Source organism: Homo sapiens, chromosome X, assembly GCF_000001405.40.
Source record: "Homo sapiens chromosome X, GRCh38.p14 Primary Assembly".
NCBI classification, from domain to species: Eukaryota; Metazoa; Chordata; class Mammalia; order Primates; family Hominidae; genus Homo; species Homo sapiens.
The window spans coordinates 129,933,779-129,958,201 of record NC_000023.11 but is presented as its reverse complement, the minus strand read 5'-3'; the positions used below and the strand labels follow the sequence as shown (position 1 = coordinate 129,958,201).

At 49.7% G+C, this 24,423-nt stretch overlaps 1 annotated feature.

Annotated features, from left to right (window-relative positions):
- Positions 4,624-5,354: an enhancer, noted in NCBI's record as "H3K4me1 hESC enhancer chrX:129086824-129087554 (GRCh37/hg19 assembly coordinates)". NCBI's record gives its function as "activates a minimal SCP1, AML or CMV promoter by ChIP-STARR-seq in primed H9 embryonic stem cells {active_cell/tissue: H9 hESC(primed)}" and the evidence as "EXISTENCE:reporter gene assay evidence [ECO:0000049][PMID:30033119]".

Below are 24,423 nucleotides of genomic sequence, written 5' to 3'. Positions count from 1 at the left end.
GGGGACTGAGAGGGAAGCCAAGGGAAGTGAGAGTCCACTCCTTCCTGCCTGGCCAAAGGGGTGTGCGAATGGAGATCACTTTCAACAGGGCATGCCCTTTGTGTTCTCTGCACTAGGAATGGGGCTCCCTTGCCCGGTGCCCCTGGTGAGCAGCAGCGCAGGTCTGTGAGATAGTGCTGAGGGTAATGGGGCAGCCTAAGTCAATGTGGAGGGCAGATTAGAGCAAAGCTAACTGGCAGTGGGAAGGAGAGCCAGTAAGTCCGGACTCCGCCATAGGTTCTAACCACTGCCCTATCCGCCCAGGAATTGGCCGTGGGAGACAAATCTCCAGCCCCCCAACCTCCACCCCAATCTAGCGTCCTTCCCCCTCTCGGCGGGCAGAAGACAACGCCCCCTCGGGGACTACCACCCCACCAGGGCGGGAGCACTCCCTCCTCCTCCCACCCCTCGATCCATAAAGCCAGGAGATGCTACCGCGAAGGGAACCCTGGGAGTGTGCCTTGAATGACCCCCAAACACATCTGGATTTTCGGAGTTCAGGCCAGCCCCCGAAACGGACCCCAGGGAAGTCCGCCAGAGGGAGGGAGCGGGGGAAGGGAGAGGCAGCACGGAGTTCAGGGCCTGTCTTTTAGGACTCCCGGCCCCACGACTAGGACCGTCCCAAACTTCCTGTTTCTTCCGGCCGCTCTGACCCCGGGGCTGCGGCTCCGAGATAGCTCAGGGCCTGGAAGTGCATGCTGGGTAAGCGCAGACGGACGGAGTAGGCGAGCTGCTCGCTGTCGCCGCGGCGCAGGGCCGGTGTGGGCGCGCGCGCTCGGCTTCCTTCCCCGGCGGTCACGCTTTGCATGTGGGATGGGCAGCGGGCAGGTGGCAAGGAGGCCCCCACGCCGAGGGCTCGGGGAGGAGCCGGGGCCTGGGCAGGGGCGGAGGGGGAGGGGGAGGAGGCGGCCCGAGGGGCGGGGGCGGGGGCCGGGAGTTGCTGCATTTTAAAGGGAAGCGGAGTTGCCTTCGTCGGAGGCCGAAGTTCGAGCCGGCCTCGCCGCGTCGAGTGCAGGAAATCCTGGAGGGGCAGCGCAGCCTGCTCGGCCCCCGGCCCAGACCCGAGCTCTCGCGCCCCGCTGAAGCCCCAGGGGATAGTTGAGGACGAGTAGAAGGAAGTCCTTCTTTACTCAGACTAGAGAAAACTTAAGGAAACTGTTAACCCCCTCCCCAAAGGGGGTCCAGGTTTGGGATTTTTTTTTTTAAGTGCAGGCAAATGCTCGACTCCAGGGAGAAACTAAAGCGATCCCAATCGTTGAGGGGTGCAGGTCGGAAAGGACAGCCCATTCCTCAGTACCTGGTCCTTAAGATCGGCTGCATAAGGTTGCGGGGGTGGGGGGGAGGTGGGGAGGGAACCCATTGCTGCTACTTAGCTCCCGCTTCAACGTTAGAGAGGAGAAGCTTTGGAAAGATGGTTAAATCCAGGAAGGTGGTTAAATCCGAATAGAGGTTTAACCCCTACCTTTTCCCGCACCTTCCTTTGGGGCCACACCCCTTGCGCGAAACCCCATCTCGCTTCCACTCCTTCCATCTCTCATTATTCCGTACTCTTCAGCTCTGCCACATGTTTGCGTTGTATCTTAAGGAAATTGGTCTTATGCCCTCGCATGGGGGTTGATGTTAGACATAGGACCAGGCGAGATGGGAGATAGAGCACACAGCACACTCGGGCCCACTTCAGAGATTACTGCCCCCATTCTGAAGATGAAAGAAACCGAGGCTGCCCAGAGAGCCCAATATTTTGCTGAGCTCACACAGGGAGTTAGGAATAGAGGTTTAAAACAGTTTGAGGCCAGGCGCGGTGGCTCACGCCTGTCATCACAACACTGGCAGGCGGAGGCGAGAGGATTGCTTGAGGCTAGGAGTTCGAGACTGCCCTGGCCAACATAGCAAGACCCTATCTAAAAAAAATGGTAACAAAACACAGCTTGGGAATGGGAGCAGGGTTGATGCTTAAGACTCAATTAAGCAACCGTGTCCCTCACCAAGTCTCTTCAGACCCCCACCCCACTAGCTGAGTGCTACTTTAGCAAGCCTCCATTATTCTCTCTGATGGCACACTGCCCTAGGGCTATTTGACTGTGTTTTCATCACCTGTGCTAGATTAGGAGTACCTCAATGATGGAGATAGGGTCTCAATATTTATCATCTCACCTCAGTGTCTACTAAAGTGCCCGGCACATAGAAGACAATAAATGTTTCTTTGTTGAATGATAGAAATTAGGAATCCAGACTTCCAGCCATTTTCTTTTCTCCTTCCTTCCTTCTTTCCTTCCTTCCTCCTCTCTTTCTTTCTTTCTTTTCCTTTTTTTCTTTCTTGTCTTTCCTTTCTTGTCTTTTTCTTTCTTTCTTTCCACAGGGTCTCTTGCTCTGTTGCTCAGGCTACAGTGCATTGGAGCGATCATGGCTTACTGCAGCCTTGACCTCCTGGGCTCAAGCGATCCCTCCACCTCAACCTCATAAGTAGCTGGGACCATAGGTGCGCGCCACCATGTCCAGCTAATTCTCAAAAACATGTTTTTTGTAGAGACAAGTTCTCTCTGTTGCCCAGGCTGGTCTCAAGCTCCTAGGCTCAAGTGATCCTCATGCCTCAGGTCTCCCAAAGTGCTGGGATTACAGGTGTGAGCCACCATGCCCGTTCATCCCTTTTTCAAGTCAAGTGCTGCCTTATCTACCCATCCACCTACACACCTGGCTTAGAAGCACCCCATTCAGGGCGAGGTCTTTCTATTGCCACCCATCCTTGGTGCTGGGCTTTGCACTTAAGAGGGGCTTTCAAAAATAGACACAAAGGGTGAGGGGCCATCTTTGGCTCGCCTGGCCAGGGACAGGATCAAGCTGCCCAGTTACAAATCTGTTATGTATATTCTGTGCCCTGGTGCCCTTCTTCCAAATCAAAATATAGCAGGCAGTGCAAACATTTATGCAAATGAGCCAGGAGCCCTCCTGCTTTCAAAAATAAATGATGGAGCCCGTATCAGTAGTTGCAGTGTGTCTTGGCAGTGTTTAGAAGGGGCCCTGTCCACCCCTTGCTAGTTCTCTTGGGAAGCCCAGCACAGTGAGAAGCAGTGTATCTTACCCCCCTCATTTCCCCCTCCCCTCCAATACTACAAACAGCCACAAACCACATGGCCCACAAGCAACTGAGATTTGTGGCCTTTGGAACCTCCCAGGGCAGGGGTCAGTCAGCAGGTCAAAGCGGGTGTAGGCATCACACAGTCCAGAGTCATTACTCTAATGCCCTCTGGGAGAGTTTCAAATCAATGGGCCTATTTGTCCTCCCTCCAGGGAGGACTGGGGGTAGGGCAGCGGGGGTCCATTATCAAGCCCATCCCCACAACACTGCCTCCAAGAAGCTCACCCTTAGCCTGGCATCCTGAAAACCTCACTGCTACCCAGAAGACAGAAACCGGAAGTGGGATGATGTCTGTGGGGATGGGCAGATAGGATGTCTCCTTTGCATTCTAGGTTAGGAATCTAGGAGTCTGGACTTTTATGTGGGAGTCTCTGTGGCATTTACAAAGCCAGCAGGGTGACTTTGGGCGCCTGTTGACCTCTCTACATTTTGGCAAATAGCCAGTTTCCAGCAAGACCATGCCCTGACCCAGTTGTCTCTGTTGCTTCTGGGAGAGTTTTAGAATCACTCTTTGTGGGAAAGAGGTTGGGTAGTATAGTGATTAGAGAGCTGGACTTGGGCATTGGCCAGACCTGGATTCCAAACCCAGCTCTGCCACTAACCAGCTGTGTGACCTCTTCAAGTTACCTTCTCTGAACCATAGTTGCCTTATCTGTTGAACGGGGATAATAATAGTACCTACCATATAAGACTGTTATTGGGATTAGTGTGCTATGTACTTGGCAGTTTGTGAGGGTTCAATAAATAGTAGTTGTGGTGGCCATTCTTACTAGGTTTGGTTGCAGGCAAGTGCTATTCTGCTGGTCCCTGTCAAGCCTGAGGCCCTTCTCGGCTCAAATCCCTCCCTAAGATACTGGAGAGATGGAATTCTTTCTGTCACCCCTCCCCTCCCAGCATTTGGGTCTTTTGTTCTGGGATTGGCCAGGGCTATGCCTAAAGTGCACCAAGTGTGGCTCTGGCCACAGGCATATCCCCTGAGGGGACTTAGCCTTGTTGACTAAAATGGTATTAAGTGGTCAGCGGGTGGCGAGGGGGAGACTCAGGGGAACAGTACCTCCGAAGACTCTAAAATGCATACACATGGTATCTAGGGCCAGGCTAGTGCCATGGCTCTAGACCCTAGCTAAGAGTGCATTTACAGAGGCTGCTTTGAGAATGTTTTGTGAATGTTTTGGCTGATTTACTGGATAACCTTCATCTTCAATGGCCTTGTTTAAATTTTACCACGGTATGGAATGGGAAGGAGCTCACTTTCCATTCCAACTTTTGGTGGCAGGAGTTGGTAGGATGGGAAGGGCAGCTCGCTAAGTGCTGGACAACATGGCCCAAAAACAATCTGGTTCAGCCAGAAGTTCACGAATACATAGGCCAGCTCTGCTTTTGCAGGGCACCTTCATCCCACTTTTGGATTCATCCTTACTGTTGAGTTTGAACTGCTAAAGGGAGAGAGACTGGGTCTCTCCTATCAGACCTGGAGCTCCCTGAGGTTGGAGATCTTGTCAACCCCACTGTACCGGGAACCTTCCGACGGCGGGGGCCGAGTCTCCTCCCTTTGGCTGGCCGTTCTCCAGCCTGGGAACCGAAAAAGCTGCCTCCGCCCCCGGAGCATGTCCCCCACCCATGCCCGGTGCATTCCTTGGTATTCGAAGCACCCGGAGGCTCAGCACCCGCGGCGGAGCGATTGGCGCCAGCGAGGCCCGGAAGGATGCTTCGGGGCCCGAACTCCCCAGACCTCCGGCTGGGCAGGGGAGGGGGAAGCTGCCGGCTGCCCGAGGAGGGAGGGGCCACGTGGTTGTGGGGAGCTGCAGAGGGGTGCCCCCGGGTCCGTCCAGGCCCTTTTGTCTGTCCCCTGCGCCGAAGCCCCCTCCCCAAAGTGGGCTGGCTGCCGGGGAGGAGGGAGGCCCCGGTGGGCGTGGGGGGGTGGTGCGGAGGGGAAGGGGAGAGTAAACGAGCACTATGGGGGCTGGGAGAGGCTGGAGGGGTGGAGGGCCAGAGGCTGCGCCAGAGAGAAGCGGCTGGAACTGCCCGAGAAGGCCAGGAGGAAAAAGCGGAGGAAGGAAACCCATCCTGCCCCCAACAAGCGAGTGTCTCCTGTTACCAACCGAAAGGTGCTGCCTCAGGAAGAGGTGATCGGAGCCGTTGAGAGCAAGCGGTCACGTGAGCCGAAGAGGCAGAGAGAGAGAGAGAGAGAGAGAGAGAGAGAGAGAGAGAGAGAGAGAGAGAGAGAGCGAGCGAGTGAGCGAGCGCGCAGAGAGGCAGCGCGAGAGAAAGCCGACGGACAGACCGACAGACAAAGAGCCCAAGAGGGAGGCCAGCGTGGACCGCGAGAGAAAGGAGAGCGGGAGGGAGGAGGGGAGGGCGGCCCGGCTCTCCTCTTCCCTTTCCTTATTTTCCCCAGTCTCAACTCTCTGGCCTCACACTTGGGGGACCCAGTGACCGAATGGGGGCCAGAGAGCCCGTCCTCCGGCAGAAGGAGCCCTTTATTCTCGCTATCTCACTCTGCCCAGGCAGCTAGTTTTGACGCTTCCCCACTCCTGAAACGACCAGTGGGGCTGTAATTGGGCCTGGTTAATACCCCTTTTTAGCTTGCAAAATACAAGCAATTCCCTGTTATCCACAGGGGGCTTCCCCAGGGCCTCTGGAATCTGGAATCTCCAGGACCCTACAGTCCCCCACTCCAAGCCTTCTGGGAGTTGGGGCCCTGGGTAGGCCCCATTCCACTCTGTCCGTTTCACTGGGCAACAACAAATGAGGCTGGCGGAGGAGTCCACTGTACTAGGTCCAAGAAGCTGCTGAGATGGGCCAAACGGCTGAGCTGCCTTCTGGAAGCTTTTACTCTAGAGGGAGAGGAGGTCACGGACAGACAGAAAAGGCTGACAGTGGAAGGGTCTGTGCCCTGTGCTAGCAAAATGCCAGAGGGAGTATGGAGAAAGGAGAAATGACAGGAACTAGAAGACTTCTTGGAGAAAGTAGGATTTGGGCAGGCCTTGAAGGCTGAGAGCTCTGGAACCCAAGGGCCGTAGGGGCAGGTGGAAGGATTATTCAGGGGAGAAAGACTGGAACAAAGGCTGGCCGCTTCTAACAGGAACCTGAACTGGTTCTTAATTATAAAGGTAAATCTGTTGTTTTAAAACAAACTGGGGGCTGGGTGCAGTGGCTCACGCCTGTAATCCCAACACTTTGGGAGGCCGAGGCGAGTGGATCACCTTAGGTCAGGAGTTCAAGACCAGCCTGGCAAAACTCCGATTCTACTAAAAATACAAAAATTAGCCAGGCGTGGTGACACACACCTGCAGTCCCAGTTAGTCGGGAGGCTGAGGCAGGAGAATTGCTTGAACCTGGGAGGCACAGGCTATAGTGAGCCAAGATCGCCCCAGCACTCCAGCCTGGGTGACAGAGCAAGACTCCATCTAAACAAGCAAACAAACAAAAAACCACCACCACCACCAACAACAACAAAAATTGGGGCCGGGTGCCGTCAGAAGTTTGAGACCAGCTTGGCCAATAGGGTGAAATTTCGTCTCTACTAAAAATAGAAAAATCAGCCGGGCATGGTGGCAGGTGCCTGTAATTCCAGCTACTCAGGAGGCTGAGGCAGGAGAATCGCTTGAACCTGGGAGGTGGAGGTTGCAGTGAGCCAAGATTGCGCCACTGCACTCCAGCCTGGGCGACATAGAGAGACTCTTCCTCAAAAATAAATACATTAATTAACTAAAATAAAACAAATTGGATTGTAAACATTACTATTTTTCTTTAATTGCAGGCCCTACTGCTGGCCCATCGTTGGTGGTGATTACTGGGAATTGGCTATGATTTTCCAAAGTGCTACCAGTCCCATGAAAACTTTCCTCAGCCTGCTTTTTCCATTGAGGAAACACGGGCCAGAAGGAAATGAAGTCAGTATCCTGTCCCCTGTCCCCCTGCCCCACAAGGATAGGAGGTAGCCACCCACTCTAAGTAAGTATGGTCCAGGGGCACTGAGAGGTTTGCCTTGGCATTGCCTTTCTCTCTTGTCACACATGTGGGCTCACAATTGGAATCACAGGTTGGAAAGCCCAGTCAGGGATTCCAACTCCAGATTCCAGGTCCCTATGAGCAGGTCAGGTGTTCTTTGGGCATCTTGATTCTTTCCTATTGGCATCTTAATCATGTGAATCACTTTATCTGTTATTCCTTTTTTTTTTTTTTTTTTTTTGAGACAGGTTCTCTTTGTCACCCAGGCTGGAGTGCAGTGGCACAAACACGGCTCACCGTAGCCTCCACTTCCCAGGCTCAGGTGATCCTCCCACGTCAGCTTCCTAAGTAGCTAGGACTACAGGTGCCCACCACCACACCTGGCTAATTTTTGTATTTTTTTGTAGAGATGGGGTTTGTTATGTTGCCCAGGCTGGTCTCGAACTCCTGGGCTCAAGCTATCCACCCGCCTCGGCCTCCCAAAGTGCTAGGATTATAGGCATCGTGAGCCACTTGCACCTGGTCATGTTATTCTTTTTAGTTTGCAAAATTCAGTCAACTCCCTGTTCGCCACAGGGGGCTTCCCAAGGGCCCTGGGAATCCAGCATCATCTCCCTGAGCTTAGACCACTGTCCACTCTGGCTACCACTGGGCTGCACTAGGAATTGGGGCCTGACAAACACAGGGGTATTTCAGTGGGGAGAAGGACATGGCTACAAGCCCACTGGGTGGCAGCCCAGAACGTGGGGTCCCAAAGGCTAGGGATATCACTTGAGAAATTGCTGGCTGGGAGCCCAGGGCAAGGGGACCAAAGTCTTGTAGGAAGGCTGTAGATCTAAGGGCACCCTTCTCAACGTTGTAGTGAAAAACTGTTCCCTCACCAAACACCTTGTGTATACAAGCCAGTAGCGTCATCACGATCAACCTTTTTGTGACTGTTACTCATTTATTCCTTCATTCAGTCCTTTATTCTATAAACATCTATTCAACATCACTGTGTGCCCCTCTGTGCTCAGGACTGGGGACAGAGTGCCTCCCCACCAGGGGCTCTGGGCTTTACTGAGAAAGAGATCACAAATTCTAAGGAGCAAGAGAGAATGCTTCCTTTTATTCTTAATCCAAGGATTAATTAGATGAGGAAAGGGACTGTTGGGAAAAGGCAAAAAGCAGATGCTCATTATCAAAAGTTTAGAAGACAGAGAGAAGAAAACAAATATTTATTTTATTGAGACAAGGTCTCACTCTGTTGCCAAGGCTGGAGTGCAGTGGTGCGATCTCAGCTCACTGCAACCTCCGCCTCCTGGGTTCATTCGATCCTCCCACCTCAGCCTCCTGAGTAGCTGGGACCACAGGTGGCTGCCACCACACCCAGCTGATTTTTGTATTCTTAGTAGAGACGGGGTTTCGCTTTGTTGCCCACGCTGGTCTCAAACTCCTGAGCTCAAGGGACCCGCTGGCCTCAGCCTCCCAAAGTGTTGGGATTACAGGTGTGAGGCACCATGCCCGGCAATAATTTCTTTTTGAGACAGGGTCTTGTTCTATTGCCCAGGCTGGAGTGCAGTGGCACTATCATGGCTCACTGCAGCCTCAACCTCCTGGGTTCAGGTGATCCTCCCACCTCAGCCTCCCAAGTATTTGGGACCACAACAGGCACACGCCACCATACCCGGCTAATTTTTTTGTATTTTTTATAGAGACAGGGTTTCACCATGTTGCCCAGGCTGGTCTCAAACTCCTGTGCTCAAGCAATCTGCCCACTTCAGCCTCTCAAGGTACTGGGATTACAAAAACTAATTTGTTTTTGAGATGCAGTCTCACTCTGTCACCCAGGCTGGAGTGCAGTGGCACGATCTTGGCTCACTGCAACCTCTGCCTCCCAGGTTCAAGCGATTCTCCTGCCTCAGCCTCCCGAGTAGCTGGGACTACAGGTGCACGCCACCATGCCCAGCTAATTTTTGTATTTTTAGTAGAGACAGGGTTTTACCATGTTGGCCAGGCTGGTCTTGAACTCCTGACCTCAAGTGATCCACCCACCTCGGCCTCCCAAAGTGCTGGGATTAGAGGCGTGAGCCATTGCGCCTGGCCCATAAAAATAATTTTTAATTGATAATTTTAATAAGGCCATTTCTGAGCTTTGTGTATTTTAGCATGTTAGTCTCTGGGAGTCTCACCTATAAAGTGGGAGTGGGAGTAGTTGCCTCACTGGGTCATTATGCAAAGACATGGTGATTATTTATTTATTTGAGATGGAGTTTTGCTCTTGCCGCCCAGGCTAGAGTGCAATGGCGCCATCTCAGCTCACTGCAACCTCCGTTTCAAGCGATTCTCCTGCCTCAGCCTCCCGAGTAGCTAGGATTACAGGTGCATGCCACGATGCCCGGCTAATTTTTGTATTTTTAGTAGAGACGGGGTTTCACCATGTTGGCCAGGCTTGTCTCGAACTCCTGACCTCAGGTGATCTGCCCGCCTCAGCCTCCCAAAGTGCTGGGATTGCAGGCATGAGCCACCGTGCCCAGTCCACGGTGATAATTTATGTAAGTAGAATGACAAACAGAACCTGGGACTTAATAAGTCCTTACTATTTTGCAGGTATACTGTAACATAACTATCATCCAGAGACAACTGCTGTTAACATTTTGGTGCATTTCCTTCCAGTATTTTTTTAAAATGCATATTTTTCCACATAGTTTGTGATGTAACTCAATACACACTTTTATAGCTTGCCTTTTTTAAAACTTAAAATTATAACAAGAATTTCCTCATGTTATTAAAAAAGGTATTTGTAAACATCAGTTTAGTGGCCACATAATAGCCCATTGTGTAGATTCCTGTTGCTTTTTAAAAGCTCCCAAGCCTACTGTCTCCTTTGTCCTCTACCCTTGACCACCCAGCAATACTCTTGACTCTGAGGTGGAACCACCTGTTCCCCATCCCCCACATTCAGATCCAATTATTTCCTGAGACATTTATTGGGATCCGTAGTTTCACTGAGGCATTTCCACAGATGTCTGCCTTTATGCTTAGTGGCAGCCAAAACATCCTCAGACCATGTTGTAACTCAATCTGACTCTTGCCTCAGCGGACTCTCTCCTCTTTCCCCTGGCCATCTTTGCCTCTCCTCACTCCCTAGACTGCCCCCTGAGCCTAGGCTGGGGGCTTCCTCAAGGATTCCTTGGAGGCCAGTCCTGTTTTCACCCTTCCAACCAGAGATGGCACTGCTCTGCAAACTCAGTTTTGACGGCACCCAAAAAGTAGATCACAGGGGAAATAAAAGTAGACCAAGGGGTGAGCACTGTAGCCGTCAGCAGGCCTCAGGAGAGCCAGATCAAGCTCCCATGTCTGGAGGAGTCTTCCTAGATGCTCTTCTCTCCTGGTGTTGGTGAGAATGAGAATTACATAATAGGGAGCCAGTGAGGGGATGGGGTGGGAGTTAGTGCTTTACTTGGGCCCCTTTTCTTTTTTCTTTCTTTTCTTCTTTCTTTTTTTTTTATGGAGTTTTGCTCTTGTCGCCCAGGCTGGAGTGCAGTAGCACGATCTTGGTTCACTGCAACCTCTGCCTCCTGGGTTCAAGTGATTCTCCTGCCTCAGCCTCCTGAGTAGCTGGGAATAGTGCCTGCCACCACGCCCAGCTAATTTTTGTATTTTTGGTAGCAACAGGGTTTCACCATGTTGGCCAGGCTGGTCTCGAGCTCCTGACCTCAGGTGATCCACCCGCCTCGGCCTCCCAAAGCGCTGGGATTACAGGCGTGAGCCACCGCACCCGGCTCATTTCTTTTTTTTGAAATCAACTTCTCTTGTCTGTTTAGTACAGTCTTGCTCTGCCACCCAGGCTGGAGTACAGTGGCGTGATCTCTGCTGACTGCAGCCTCTACCTCCCGGGTCAAGTGATCCTCTCACCTCAGCCTCCCAAGTAGCTGGGACTACAGGTGCATGCCACCATGCCCAGCTAATTTTTTGTATTTTTTTTGTAGAGATGGGGGTCTCGCTCTGTTGCCCAGGCTGGTCCTGAACTCCTGGCCTCAAGCGGTCCTCCCACCTTGGCCTCCCAGAGTGCTGGGATTACAGGCATAAGCCACCAGGCCCGGCTAGGTCAACCCCTTTTATGCCTTTGAGGTTCTCCCAACTGGGGCTGGAACTGTCAAATAGATAGCTTGCTATGGGAAAGCCTGAAGCTCAGCAGACATGCTCCTGAATGCAGCCCTCCAGCTTCAAGACAAGGACTCTTTTTTTTTTTTTTTTTTTTTTTTTTTTGAGACGGAGTCTCACTCTGTTGCCAGGCTGGAGTGCAGTGGCCTGATCTCGGCTCACTGCAACCTCCACCTCCCGGGTTCAAGCGATTCTCCTGCCTCAGCCTCCTGAGTAGCTGGGACTACAGGGGCGCGCCAGCACGCCCAGCTAATTTTTGTATTTTTAGTAGAGACGGAGTTTCACCATGTTGGCCAGATGGTCTCGATCTCTTGACCTCGTGATCCACCCGCCTCGGCCTCCCAAAGTGCTGGGATTACAGGCGTGAGCCACCGTGCCTGGCCAAGACAAGGCCTTTTTTTGTTTTGAGACAGAGTCTCTCTCTGTCGCCCAGGCTGGAGTGCAGTGGCGCAATCTCGGCTCACTGCAAGCTCCGCCTCCCAGGTTCACGCCATTCTCCTGCCTCAGCCTCCTGAGTAGCTGGAATTACAGGCACCTGCCACCATGCCCGGCTGATTTTTCTATTTTTAGTAGAGACGGGGTTTCACGGTGCTAGCCAGGATGGTCTCGATCTCCTGACCTCGTGATCCACCTGCCTCAGCCTCCCAAAGTGCTGGGATTACAGGCGTGAGCCACCACGCCCAGCCGACAAGGACTCTTTAGATATCCAGAGGGTTCACTACCAAGCAGGCAGCCAGGAGTTCTAGAACATGAGACTTTCCTTGTGGAGAAGGGAATAGAAACCCTACTGGGGTTCTAGGAGAGGCATGGGATTCTAGTCAACAGGACAGTCCCAAGGACAAGAGCTCGTTTAATGGAAAAGTAACCCTTTTCAAGTCAGTGGAAAAATACTGCATTACTTAACCAGTGGTTTGGGGATATCTGATTTGGAGAAAAAAAGTTAACACCGCCAGGTGCAGTGGCTCATGCCTGTAATCCCAGCGCTTTGGGAGGCCAAGGCAGGTGGATCACTTGAGGTCGTGAGTTTGAGACCAGCCTGACCAACATGGAGAAACACGTCTCTACTAAACATACAAAATTAGCCAGGCGTGGTGGTGCACGCCTGTAGTCCCAGATACTCGGGAGGCTGAGCCAGGAGGATGGCTTGAACCCGGGAAGGGGAGGTTGCAGTGAGCCAAGATTGTGCCACTGCACTCCAGCCTGGGTGACAGAGCAAGACTCTGTCTCAAAAAAAAAAAAAAAGTTAACACTTCATGCCCTTGGCCCAAGTAAATCCCAGAGGAGCCTAGTTAGGTTCTTGGTTGTAAACTACAGACCCTTAGTCTACCATAAGCTGAGAAGGAGTTTGCTGGAAGGCTATGGGGAATCTCACTGTGACTCGAAGTGTGAAAAACTAACCTCAGGAAAAGGGTAGGAACCAAGGAAGGCAGGCAGAGTCAGGATCATCCCACAGGCCTGGCTTGTTTAGGATGTCATCTGTGATGGCATGGGCCCCTCCAGAGACTTGTCACTGCTCTTCTGGGGGCCTGGCTGCTGAGACATTCAGAAAAAAATGCTGCTCTTCCCTGCAGTACAGTATTGCTCAAGTTCTGAAGTCCAGAGGGAGAGATAGCATCTGGCTGGCAGACCCTGAGTCACAGCCCCACTACCTAATTGCCAGTGGAGAGGGAGAGGGATATCTGCCTTCCATGTTTCTTGGAATTTGTTTCGAATCATCAGGGTGTTTGGATACTAAGTAACCAAAACCAAAAATGCCAGTTACACTCAAGGATGTTTCTTGAGCACTAGCTTTGATAGGTCCCTGGCCAAGTGCTCTACAAATACTATTTCCTTTAATCATTAAAACAAACCTGTAAGTTGGAAACTATTATTATCCCCATCTTATAGACAAGGAAGTTGAAGATGCCTTTGGTCACACAGCTAGTGTGTACGGGATGGAGCTGAGATTTGGCCCTAGCTCCATCTCACTCCAGAGTGAGATGCTTATCCACTATGCTCCAGAGGGATCAAGAATGGCCAAAAATAGGCCAGGCATGGTGGCTCACACCTGTGATCCCAATGCTTTGGGAGGCCAAGGTGGGAGGATTGTTTGAGGCCAGGAGATCAAGACGAGCCTGGGCAACATATCAAGATCCTGTCTCTACAAAAAATAAAAGAAAAAAAATTACCTAGGCGTGGTAGTGTCTACCTGTAATCCAAGCTACTTGGGAGCCTATAGTCCCAGCTACTTGGGAGGTTGAGGTGGGAAGATCACTTGAGCCCTGGAGGTCAAGACTGCAGTGAGCTATGATTACATCACTGCGCTCCAGCCTGAGTGACAGAGTGAGATCCAGTCTTACAACAAGAACGGCCAGAAATGAAACCATAAACAATTTAGATGAAAACAGGTGAATGTCCTTCTGATCCTGGGAATAGGGAAAGTCTTTCTAGGCATAAAGGTAAAATAAGGAACAATAAAGGACATGATGAATAGATTTGGCTATGTAAAACTTCTTATTTTAAAAATAATAACTCCACAAGCAAAATTAGAAGGCCAACTGGCAAGGAGTGTTTGCTATGTGTGACAGAGTTTTAGTATCATTGATATATAAAGAAGTCTTGGCTGGGCGCGGTGGCTCACGCCTGTAATCCCAGCACTTTGGGAGGCTGAGGTGGGTGGATCACGAGGTCAGGAGATGAGACCATCCTGGCTAACATGGTGAAACTCCGTCTCTACTAAAAATACAAAAATTAGCCGGGTGTGGTGGCGGGTGCCTGTAGTCCCAGCTACTTGGGAGGCTGAGGCAGGAGAATGGCGTGAACCCGGGAGGTGGAGGTTGCAGTGAGCCGAGATTGCGCCACTGAACTCCAGCCTGGGTGACAGAGCGAGACTCTGTCTCAAAAAAAAAAAAAAAAAAAAAAAGGAAGTCTTACAAATCCACAAGAAAAAGATAAACACCTAAACACCTCATTAGAAAACTAGGCAAAGGATATGAATTGGCAATTCTCAAAACAAGAAATATTAATGGCCAATAAACTAAACTAGGAAAAACATTCAGTATTAATAAAGAAGCACAAATTCAAATACTGAGATATCTACATATCATTTTTTTACCCTTCAAGTTGGAAAAAATACATATATACTTACTTGTTTATTTATTATTTTATTTATTTATTTTTGAGACAGAGTCTTGCTGTGTCACCCAGGCTGGAGTGCAACGGTGCCATCTCGGCTCACTGCAACCTCTGCCTCCTGGGTTCAAGCAATTCTCCTGTCTCAGCCTCCCGAGTAGCTGGGACTACAGGTGTGCACCACCACGCCTGGCTAATTTTTTGTATTTTTGGCGGAGACAGGGTTTCACCATGTTGGCCAGGCTGGTCTCAAACTCCTGACCTCAGATGATCTGCCAGCCTCAGCCTCCCAAAGTGTTGGGATTACAGGCATGAGCCACCACATCCGGCCAAGTATTATTAAAATAAATTTTAAAAGGCTGGATGTGGTGTCTCATGCCTGTAATCCCAGCTACTCGGGAGGCTGAGACAGGAGAATTGCTTGAATCTGGGAGGCAGAGGTTGCAGTGAGGTGAGATGACGCCATTGCACTCCAGCCTGGGTGACAGAGTGAGACTCCGTCTCAAAAACAAAAACAAAAACAAAAACAAAACAAAACACAAATATATATATATAAAATAAAAATAAAAAAAATCAGCTATATTGCGGGATAATATAGCTGCAATTAGCTGAGTCCACTTAAATCATACAATTCAAAGAGTTTTGACAGGTGTACCCACTCATGAAATCACTGGCACAATCAAGATACAAAACATATCCATCACCCCCAAGACTTTGCTCATGCCCCTTTATAATTCATCTCTTCCTCCACCTCTGTCCCCAGACAGACAACCATTGATCTTCTTTCTGTCACTATAGTTTCATTTGCCTTTTCTGGAATTTTATATAATGGGGTTATACTTGTTAAAAATATGCATGCCCAAATTATCTGATATCCAGTATTTGCTTAAAAAATAAAAAATAATCCATTGGCAGAGGGACATGGGTGGGAATGTAGGTGAAACAAAATCAGGGCTGTTATACTATTTTACTTTCGTATGTGTTTGAAATTTTCCATTATAAAATTTTAATATGCATCATCACCTCTTGATCCGGTTGTTCCTAAAATCAAATATGCACAAAGGATGCTAACGAGATATTATATTTATAATAACAGGAAAAGGGTAAACAATCTAAATACCCAACAAAAGGTTGGGTAAATAAATTACAGCACATTCATTGAATGGAACACATGAGGCCCTTAAAAATCATGTTTTCAAAGGATATTTAATGACATTGAAAAATGCAACGTACATTTTATATGAAAAACGCAGGTTACAAAACAGTTACAGCATGATTTCATTTTTATCTAAAATATGTAGTAAATATAAATAAAATACTGGAATGTTAATGGTGCTACACTCTATGTGGTAGGATTACAAGTGAATTTTTCGGGGGTTGGGGGAACGGAGTCTTGCTCTGTCGCCCAGGCTGGAGTGCAGTGGTGCCATCTTGGCTCACTGCAACCTCCACCTCCCTGGTTCAAGCAATTCTTGTGCCCCAGCCTCCTGAGTAGCTGGAACTACAGGTGTGCACTGCCACGCCCAGCTAATTTTTTTTTTTTTTATTTTCTAGACGAGTCTTACACTGTTGCCTGGGCTGGAGTGCAATGGCGCAATCTTCGCTCACTGCAACCTCCATCTCCCAGGTTCAAACAATTCTCCTGCCTCAGCCTCCCAAGTAGCTGGGATTACAGGCACATGCCACCATGCCCAGCTAATTTTTATTTTTAGTAGAGACAGAGTTTCACCATGTTGGCCAGGCTGGTCTCAAATTCCTGACCTCAGGTGATCCACCCACCTCAGCCTCCCAAAGTGCTAGGATTACAGGCATGAGCCACTGCACCCGGCCTTCTTTTTTTTTTTTTTTTTTTTTTTTTTTTTGAGACAGAGTCTTGCTCTGTCGCTCAGGCTGGAGTGCAGTGGCATGATTCCAGCTCACTACAACCTCCACCTCCTGGGTTCAAGTGATTCTCATGCCTCAGCCTCCCAAGTAGCTGGGATTACAGGTGTGCGCCACCACGCCTGGCTAATTTTTGTATTTTTAGTAGAGACGGGGTTTCGCCATATTGGCCAGGCTGATCTCGAACTCCTGGCCTCAAGTGTTCTGCCTGCCTCCGCCTCCCAAAGTACTGGGATTACAGGCGTGAGCAACCGGGCCTGGCCCCGGCTAATTTTTTGTGTTTTAGTAAAGATGGGTTTCACCATGGCTGGTCTCGAACTTCTGAGCTCAGGCAATCTGCCCACCTTGGCCTCCGAAAGTGCTAGGATTACAGGCATAAGCCATTGTGCCCGGCTACAAGTGATGTCTATTATCTTTCTAGTTTCCAGTATTTTAAAAACTTCTACAATGAGCATGTGATACACACACACACACACACACACACACACACACACACACACAGATAGATGATAGATAGATAGATAGATAGATAGATAGATAGATAGATAGATAGATAGTAAGTAGAGACAAGGTCTCACTATGTTACCTAGGCTGGTCTTAAACTCCTGAGCTCAAGCCATTCTCCTGCCTTGGCCTCCCAAAGTGCTGGGATTACAAGTGAGAGTCACGGTACCCAGCCTATAATATTTTTAATAGAGGAGAATAGTCTTTAATTTATCTTCGGTACTTTGCATTTTTCCAGATTCTTTTCTTTTACATTGTCTTATTTTTAACCCTATGAGACCATAGAATAGCTTTTATTATATTCCCATAGACCCAAAGTAGTATATTTTCAGAACTAGATAGGACCTTATAGATAAAGACTGATTCCCCCATTGTTTAGATGAGGAAACCGAGGATCAGAGAGCTGAAGTAACTTGCTTGATGCCAGAAAATTAGTGTCAGAGTCAGAATCAGAAGTCAAGCCCCTGGGGCTGACTCCTTTTCACTGCTTCATAGAACAAAGGATCCCAGTGAAACCCACTTCCTGACAGAGACCATTACTAGATACTCTTGAATAGGATGCCTCAAGAAGAGATAAATTCCTTGACTGTGTGTGTGTGTGTGTGTGTGTTTGTCTTAGAGATAGGGTTTCACTATATTGTCCAGGTTGGTCTTGAACTTTTGGCCTCAAGCGATCCTCCCACCTTGGGCTCCCAAAGTGTTGGGATTACAGGTATGAACTGCTGCCCCTAGCCAATTTCCCCGATTTCTAATCCTAGTCCTGAATCTCATCTTAATCCAGGTCACAATGGACTCAACTTTATACACAGACCAATCTCCCTAACCCTGGCCAGGGTCTGAATCCCGATCCATGTTGCAGTCAGCTGTTTCTCCACCCACTTACCCCCATCATGCAAATCTATGTTGTTGAAAGGGATGTGGGGTGGAATATGGGTGAATCAATACAATCTCCTCCCTTCAAGGGTCAAGGATGACACTTTCTTATAGGCAGGCAGGCAAGCTCTTTTTAACCAGAAGGCAAGGGCAGGTCCAGAACTCCAGTGGAAGATGCTCAGGGGCAGCATTGGAAGTTGCGGAGAGTCTAGAAAACCTCTCTTGCCAGTTTGCGTGGATATTCAGAGCCCTCAGCCTGCTGATCAGAAAGGCCTGGCCAGAAGACTTTTCCCGTTCCCCGAGTTAGCTGAAGGACAGGAGCAGCCCAGCCAAAGGCAGTTCTTGAAAGCCTTTTGGGAAGTAGGGGCGGGGCCCAGGGGTGGAGAGTGTTGAGAGAGCTGCTGGAGGAGCGCCAGAAAAGATCGAGGGAAAAGGAGGGAAAAGATGCGACCCATGATGTCTGGTTAAAGGAATTGGAGGGACAGAAAAGAACAGACCATTCCATCTTTACCTCCATTCCTGGAAACTCTGTCACAACTCCTCAGTGCTGGGAACTCCAGCTGAGGTGATGGGGCTCCCCCAGGGATAAGGAGGTCTGTAAAACTGGAAAGGAATTTCCCTTCCTGTGAGAAAATAGAACCAGTTATATCATCCCTCAGTGCCTCAGTTCCCCTATCTGTGCAATGGAGCAGCAATAGCCTTCCTGCTCCTGCCATGTTGGGCTGTGGAGTGGGAGGAGAATGTGTGAGAATGCATAAGATAGAATCAGGTACAACATGCTTGAATTCTCTCTACTTTCAGCCCCAGCTGGGGAGTACAGGTACCACTAAGAGCTATAATTCAATTTTGGCTTCTTTACCCTCAGGCTGGGACACTGCTCCTACTCACCTCCAGCTTAAACTTCCAGTGGGGCGGCAGGGTGGAGGGGGTGGTGTGTGGCTCAACCCTTGCCTTTCTCAATCCTGCCTGGCCTGGTAGGGAACTCTTATCCCTATTGTCTCTGTTCAGATATTAGGGTAACTCCTCAATGCCCAGCATTTTGCCAAATGGAAATAATATCTCCTTTGGTGGCATGAGGTGGCCCTGTCTCTGCGTCTTTATCCAACACTTCTCTGTTTGAAGTTCCTGAAATCTGGAAGATGGGTTGTCTCTTTCTAGCTGTAAGTGCATATGTGCTTGTGGATTTTTGGGCAGGGGAGTGTGGGGTGGGGGAGAAGAGGAGGAGGAGGTGAAGTAGATAAAGGGGAGAAAAGTAGGAGGTGGTGCTGCAGGCATTAACGAGCCAAATCCATTTTGGTAGGGTTTTTTTTTTTTTTTTTCCATTCCTGACGGAGTCTCATTCTTGCCCAGGCTGGAGTGCAGTGGCGCCATCTCAGTTCACTGCAACCTCCGCCTCCTGGATTCAAGAGATTCTCATGCCTCAGCCCCCCAAGTAGCTGGGATTACAGGCACCCGCCACCATGCCTGGGTCATTATTGTATTTTTAGTAGAGACGGGATTTCACCATGTTGGCCAGGCTGGTCTCGAACTCCTGACCTCAAGTGATCCACCTGCCTCGGTCTCCCAAAGTGCTGGGAATATCGGCATGAGACATCTCGCCCAGCCCTAATAGATTTTGTTTCCCCTCCCATAAATGCTTAGACTAGAAAAAACAGAATAGCTTCAGGGTGTTTTAAGGCTGTTCAGACCCCAGTTAGCCCTCAGCTCACCTGGGCAAATGAAAGACAAGAATGGAAAAATAAAAAGGAGCAATCAAGATAAACATGTGAATCTCCTTTTTACCTCCTGGTCTTTGTAGAAAAGACAGTGCTGCCAGTGGCAGCAAAGACAGAAACCCAAGAGGTAGCATGGAGGACACAAGAGGACCATGGGAAGAAAAAGGCAGCCGACCACATGTCTTTCCTGAAAGACTTTCCTTTATTTTTCTGTAGCTGAAACTGTGAGCTCAAGGGGCTTACAGTGTGGTCAAGGAAACAGCTTACAAGAAACAACTAGATAACAAGGAGAGAGAGAGCAGAGCATCAATATTCAGGTGAAAAAAAAGTCAGACCACATCAAAAGGTTGGAAGGTGGGCAGGATCAGGGAAGGCTTCTGGAAGGGGGTGAGATTTGAACCTTGACTTGGAGAATGTAGGTATAGAGAGTGGTGGGAAGGGCATCCCAGGCTGGAGGAACATCATGAATTCATGTTGGGAGTTGGTGGGGGGGTGCTGGTGGTGCAAAAGAACAAAGGCTGCAAAGAGCAATGTCTGTTGCGGGAGGCAGGAAGCAGACAGCGGGAGGCAGGGAGCAGACTAGTGGCTGAAGAGGAGTGCTGAAGAGGAGTCCGGGTTGCAAGGTCATTCTGGAGATCTGAAGAGAATGTACTGCACTGGTGGGAGCAAGAAGAAAAACTTTGTTTCCCCTTTGAGAGCATGGCCTTCGCAGATGTGGGGGAGGTGTTTGCCCTCTTCCCTCAACTCCTGGGTTCATCCCCACCCCCCCACCCAGGAGACATCCCATGGACAAAAATCAGTGTGTGACCACGTAGGTCACTGCACAGGTGTGCATGTGTGTGTATGTGTGCACAGTACTCTTCAAAGCATGCACAAAGCATGTCATGTACACTGTGAAATAGAAGCAGATCAGGTGGCAGCCTGTTTGGCACCCTTTGAGGCAAGCTGCAGGGCACAGTGAGAAGGGCGCAGGGCTTGGATTTAAATCCCAGCTGTGCCATTGCCTATCTGGGTGACCTAGGGAGGTCCCTTTCCTTCTCTGAACCTCATTTCTTTCTCTATAAAATTGGGATAATAACAGTACCTACTCCATAAAGTTGTGAGGGTGAAATGAGATGGCCTGTAAAGCACCTGGCTCATAATAGGTACTCAGGCATGGACAACTTTTTATATTCGTTACCCACTTCCCCATCCCATGCCACTCCTAGGAGGCTGTTCTGCAAACCTGAATTCCCACCATTTCCCAGAGTCCTGGCTTCTTTATTCAAAGTGCTGTTCAAGGCAGTGTTAGGCACTGTTTTGGTGGAAGTGGAATACAAACATGAAGTGGAAACAAATGTAGCAAAATCTTAGCAGCTGTGGAATCTAGGTGATGGGAGTTCCTGTTACAATCCACTTATTTGTGCAGATTGGAAACAAACAAAAACTACAAAGAAACAGAAGCACTCTTGGCCTCTAAGAAGCACTTCTTGGCTTGGAGAAGGTTACTTTTGTCCCGTGGGAGATAAATAAGTCAGCAACTAATTTTTATGCCAGGTGGAATGTGCAAGGGGGCCCTCAAAGAGGGACATAGTGTGTGAACCCATAGGAAAGGGGAACATGGCTTCACCTGGGGCACTATTGGCAGCTTCTCCGAGGCAGAGACAGGTCAAGTGGTCCTTTGAGGAAGAGAGTTTGATTTGCAGGTGACAGGGTGGGTGTCCTGGTTGCAGTGGTCCAGGCTCAACAAAGCAATTGCCAACAGCACAGACTCTGGAACAGAACTGCGATAGTGTGCTTTGAGAGCTGCAGTTCAGGTGGGTGTGGCAGGAGGGAAAATACATTAACCCTTTAGCACTCCACAGACAGTTGTGGAGAGGGCTTAATTGATCAGGCTAACCTGCTATTTGCTAGTTAAGTGCAGAGCCAGGAGGGGGCCTACTTCAGGGCTCAACTGGGAGATGAGGGTGAAGAATGGAGTCTGAGAACCCATCTGGTTGCTGGGGAGGGGTTGCTCCAGGTGTAGAACTGTACAGGAGGGTGCCTCTTGGGGTTGGTGTGGGGCTGTTCAGGGCCTCAAGTTCAGGGCAGAATAAGGAGACAAAACAGGACATGATGGACCCTGAAGAGTAAAACTTTTCTCCTCCCCATGCCACCTCAGCCTGTCAAAGGGCCACAAGTCCCCTGATACCTGTTTTCTTTTCTTGTTTTTCTTTTTTCTTTCTTTCTTTTCTTTTTTTTTTTTTTTTTTTTTTTTTTTTTTTTTGTGATGGAGTCTTGCTCTTTTGCCCAGGCTGGAGTGCAGTGGAATAATCTCGACTCACTGCAACCTCTGCCTCCTAGGTTCAAGAGAGTCTCCTGCCTCAGCCTCCCGAGTAGCTGGGATTACAGGTGTGCACCACCACACCCGGCTAATTTTTGTATTTTTAGTAGAGACGGGGTTTCACCATGTTGGCCAGGCTGGTCTCGAACTCCTGACCTCAGGTGATCACCCGCCTCGGCCTCCCACAGTGCTGGGATTACAGGTGTGAGCCACTGCGCCTGGCCCTGATACCTGTTTTCATTCCTTTCCAGGCACCTTAAGGATTTTTTTCAAGTTGAGGAGGCTCATATGCAATTACAAGACCTGGGAAGGGGTGGCATGTTAAGCCACTGTCAGCTCAACTCCTTACTTGCACAGAAGGAATTCTCTAAACTTACCAACCTTTCAGAGAGAGAGAACCACTCTCCTGGAACAGGAAGGGAGGAAAGGAGAGGGCTAGGAGACTGTCCATGAAGGAGTGTAGGGCTGGCAAGTGAAGAGGAAGACTCCATTTGGTTGAAAACAGGCCTTCTTAGCAGGTGACTGGGAGGACATGGGGCTTCAAAGAAGGTGGGGCAAGGCAGCAAAGACCAAGGACTTCGTCTAGGTCACAGTTATTTCTCCTGGGAGTCCTGTGTGCCTCTCCCTGCTTCCCTTCTTCCACAGTCTGGCCCCTCTCAATATTGTGATCACCACAACAGGAAGGAGGGCAACCAAGAACAGCCTGCAGTACTCTGCCAGAATGGGCCTGGCTGGCTGTGGAAGGATGCTCAGCATTGTACCTGGCTGGTCCCCACCTGGGAGGGCTAGCTTAACCCAGGCCTCTTAGGCAGGTGCCAGGAGAGCAGACCCCAGAGCCCAGCAACCCTCAGGCAGGACAGTCCATCCTTAAGAGCTGGAGTGAATTCCAGGTTAAAGGGATGGCCTGAAGAAGTTGGAATTAACCCACCAAAAGCATCCCCTTTGCCAGTTGTTTTTGGTAGGGGGTCTAGAGACCATGTTCACCATTTTATTGCTAATATCTAGCGACCACAAGTCATTTTTTTATCTATTTTTTGAGTCTACTGTACACAAGGTATTTTATTATGATCAATAACAGCCAACAGACATCAAACACTTACGATGTGGCAGGCTCCTACATCGCACCAAGAACTTGTATTATCTCAGTTCATTCCTATAACAACCCTGTGGTGTAGGTACTATTAATGTCCCTATTTCACAGAATGTGAAACAGCGGCTCAGGAAAATGAAATAACTCACTGAAGGCCACACAGCTGACAACTGATCGAGGCAGGACTCAAACTCAGGTCTCGTTGGCTCCAACCCCACGTGCTTCTGCGTGTAAGCAAGTCCACTCCACAGCCTCCAGCATGCTTTGCTGCCTTGCTCCTCACTACACCATGCCTTCTCCCAATTAGTAGATTAGTCATGTGTTGACACTTCTAGTCTCAGTCTAATGGCTTGTTTATTTAACTGATGGATGCTGCTCCCCATTTGAGGCCATTAGCATTTAAACAAAACAAAACAAAACTGTTGAGCCTGGCAAAGTGACACTGTGTTTACTGTTTTTCTCCCAGTGTTAATTGTGAGCATTTTCCAAATATGTATTTTGATGTGCTAACAGTCCCTAAAGAGGACTGTAGAACAGTTTAGCAATCTTCTCATGCAGCTCCAGCCCCACTCCCCATAATCTCCTTGGTGAGGGGGAGAAGTCTTGGCTAGGATGGGGAAGAGGGATGGTGACTATCTCAGTCTGATTAGGGGGCAGGGGAACTGGGCTGGGAAGGCGACTCTGTCCTTGGAGGCTAAGTCCCAGAGTATCCTCGCTTCACGCTTGGGGAGGGAATTTGGTATTTCTTTCCAGGACAATAAGAACATCTGTGCCAAGGCAGAGGAGGAGGCCGGGCGCTCCGAGGCATCTCTGCCGGAGTCTCTTGACACTGTCCGATTGTTACTATTTCAGTTTCTGCTTGGATCACTGACCTTGTCCATTTAGAGCAGGCTGACTTGGGCGAAGACAGTGTAGGGCTGAGGAAGGACAGAGAGGACCCGTCTGGCTGGGGGTGGAGGTGTGAGGTGGGCAGGGAGCTGGACCAACTCTAAAGCGACCAGGTTACAAATGAGCTGCAAAGTACAGGGTGAATCTTGCATCCGTAAATGGGAGGAAGGAGTGCTTCCACTGTCCACCCCCCACCCCCCGGCCCCTGGGGTAAGTGCTGTTGACCTCAGGTCCAGTTTGTTTGCAGCCTCCCTCTTCTGACAGATCGGGCTTCAGGTCGACCTTGGGGTAATGGATGAAGAACTACAGGTTTGATCCTTACACGGGACAGTTTGCTTCACACTGAGAAAAACCTGGCTACTTTCTGCCTCCCAGCTCCAGTTGCAAACTGGAGTTAAAGTCGAGTTTCTGGCTCCCTGCAAAGTATTCCTAGTACTAGAAAGTCACGTCACCCGGTGTGTTCGTGTGGTGACTGCAGCCATATCTAGTCCCAGCGAGTCGGCCTCCCATTAGGGATGAGCTAAGACAGCTCCTTCGTTTCTTCCTCACTCAGACTTAGCCCTGGAACTGGCAGTTCTGGGGACCAAGAGGTAGGCATCTGCCTCCTGCATAATTAGTTACATCAGTCTCAAAAAGCATTGATGGCCCATCCCTTTGGGTATCATGCTGTGCCTGGCACGAGCTAGTAATCCCCACCCGGTCCTGGCCCTCCCGAGTTTACAACCTTAAGTCACACAATGACACAGATCCCAAAGGCGAGCAGTTAACAAATACATCCACTTGT